Source organism: Homo sapiens, chromosome 4 (genome assembly GCF_000001405.40).
Source record: "Homo sapiens chromosome 4, GRCh38.p14 Primary Assembly".
Lineage (NCBI taxonomy): Eukaryota > Metazoa > Chordata > Mammalia > Primates > Hominidae > Homo > Homo sapiens.
In genome coordinates this window covers 163,092,913-163,093,916 of record NC_000004.12, presented here as the reverse complement: position 1 = coordinate 163,093,916, position 1,004 = coordinate 163,092,913, and the positions used below count along the sequence as shown (strand labels likewise).

At 43.2% G+C, this 1,004-nt stretch overlaps 1 non-coding gene across 1 annotated transcript; it reads left to right on the top strand.

Moving 5' to 3' along the window:
* Window positions 1-288: 288 nt before the first annotated feature.
* MIR4454 (microRNA 4454) lies at window positions 289-343 on the top strand. The gene has a single exon (NR_039659.1). It is a non-coding gene; the product is annotated as a microRNA 4454 (primary transcript).
* Window positions 344-1,004: the final 661 nt, after the last annotated feature.

Here is a 1,004-nt window from a genome sequence, read left to right as displayed (position 1 = left end):
TTTTGGGTCCACGGATAAAATGTGTCTCTTTTGTCTCTACCAAAAAATGAAAGGAATTGAAATTAAGAGAAGGGAGAGATTGAAGTGTAGCGCCAAGATTGAAAGGAGAAAGAGGTTGAGGGATAGTGAGGGAAGTTGGAGAAGAGAGTAAAAGGAGGCCGCTTACCAGATTTGAAATTGGTGAGATGTTTCTTGGGCTGGTCGGTCTGAGGACCTGAGGTCGTAGGTGGATCTTTCTCATGGAGCAAAGAGCAGGAGGACGGGGGATTGATCTCCCAAGGGAGGTCCCCGGATCCGAGTCACGGCACCAAATTTCATGCGTGTCCGTGTGAAGAGACCACCAAACAGGCTTTGTGTGAACAATAAAGCTGTTTATTTCACCTGGGTGCAGGTGGGCTGAGTCCGAAAAGAGAGTCAGCAAAGAGTGGTGGATTATTATTAGTTCTTATAGGTTTTGGGATGGATAGGCGATGAAGTTAAGAGCAATGTTTTGCGGGCAGGGGTGGATCTCACAAAGTACATTCTCAAGGGTGGGGAGAATTACAAAGAACCTTCTTAACGGTGGGGGAGATTACAAAGTACATTGATTAGTTAGAGTGGGGCAGGAACAAATCACAATGGTGGAATGTCATCAGTTAAGGCTATTTTTACTTCTTTTGTGGATCTTCAGTTACTTCAGGCCATCTGGATGTATATGTGCAAGTCACAGGGGATGCGATGGCTTGGCTTGGGCTCAGAGGCCTGACAATCAGTATTCCTGACATTTTGATACTGGCATCAATTTTCAAATTTCATGAGCTCTCTATCTATGAGACGTTCTGGTTATTGGAATTTCCCCCCAACCTGGCCCTTTAAAGAGATGATATCCCTTACGATAAGCTCCCTTTAACTGCCTTATCATTTCTGGTTCAAGTTGATGAATCAGAAGCATAAGAAAAAGACTTATATTTTTCTTTATTTACTCTATAAGTATTTATTGAGCACCCATGATCAGGACATTGTTT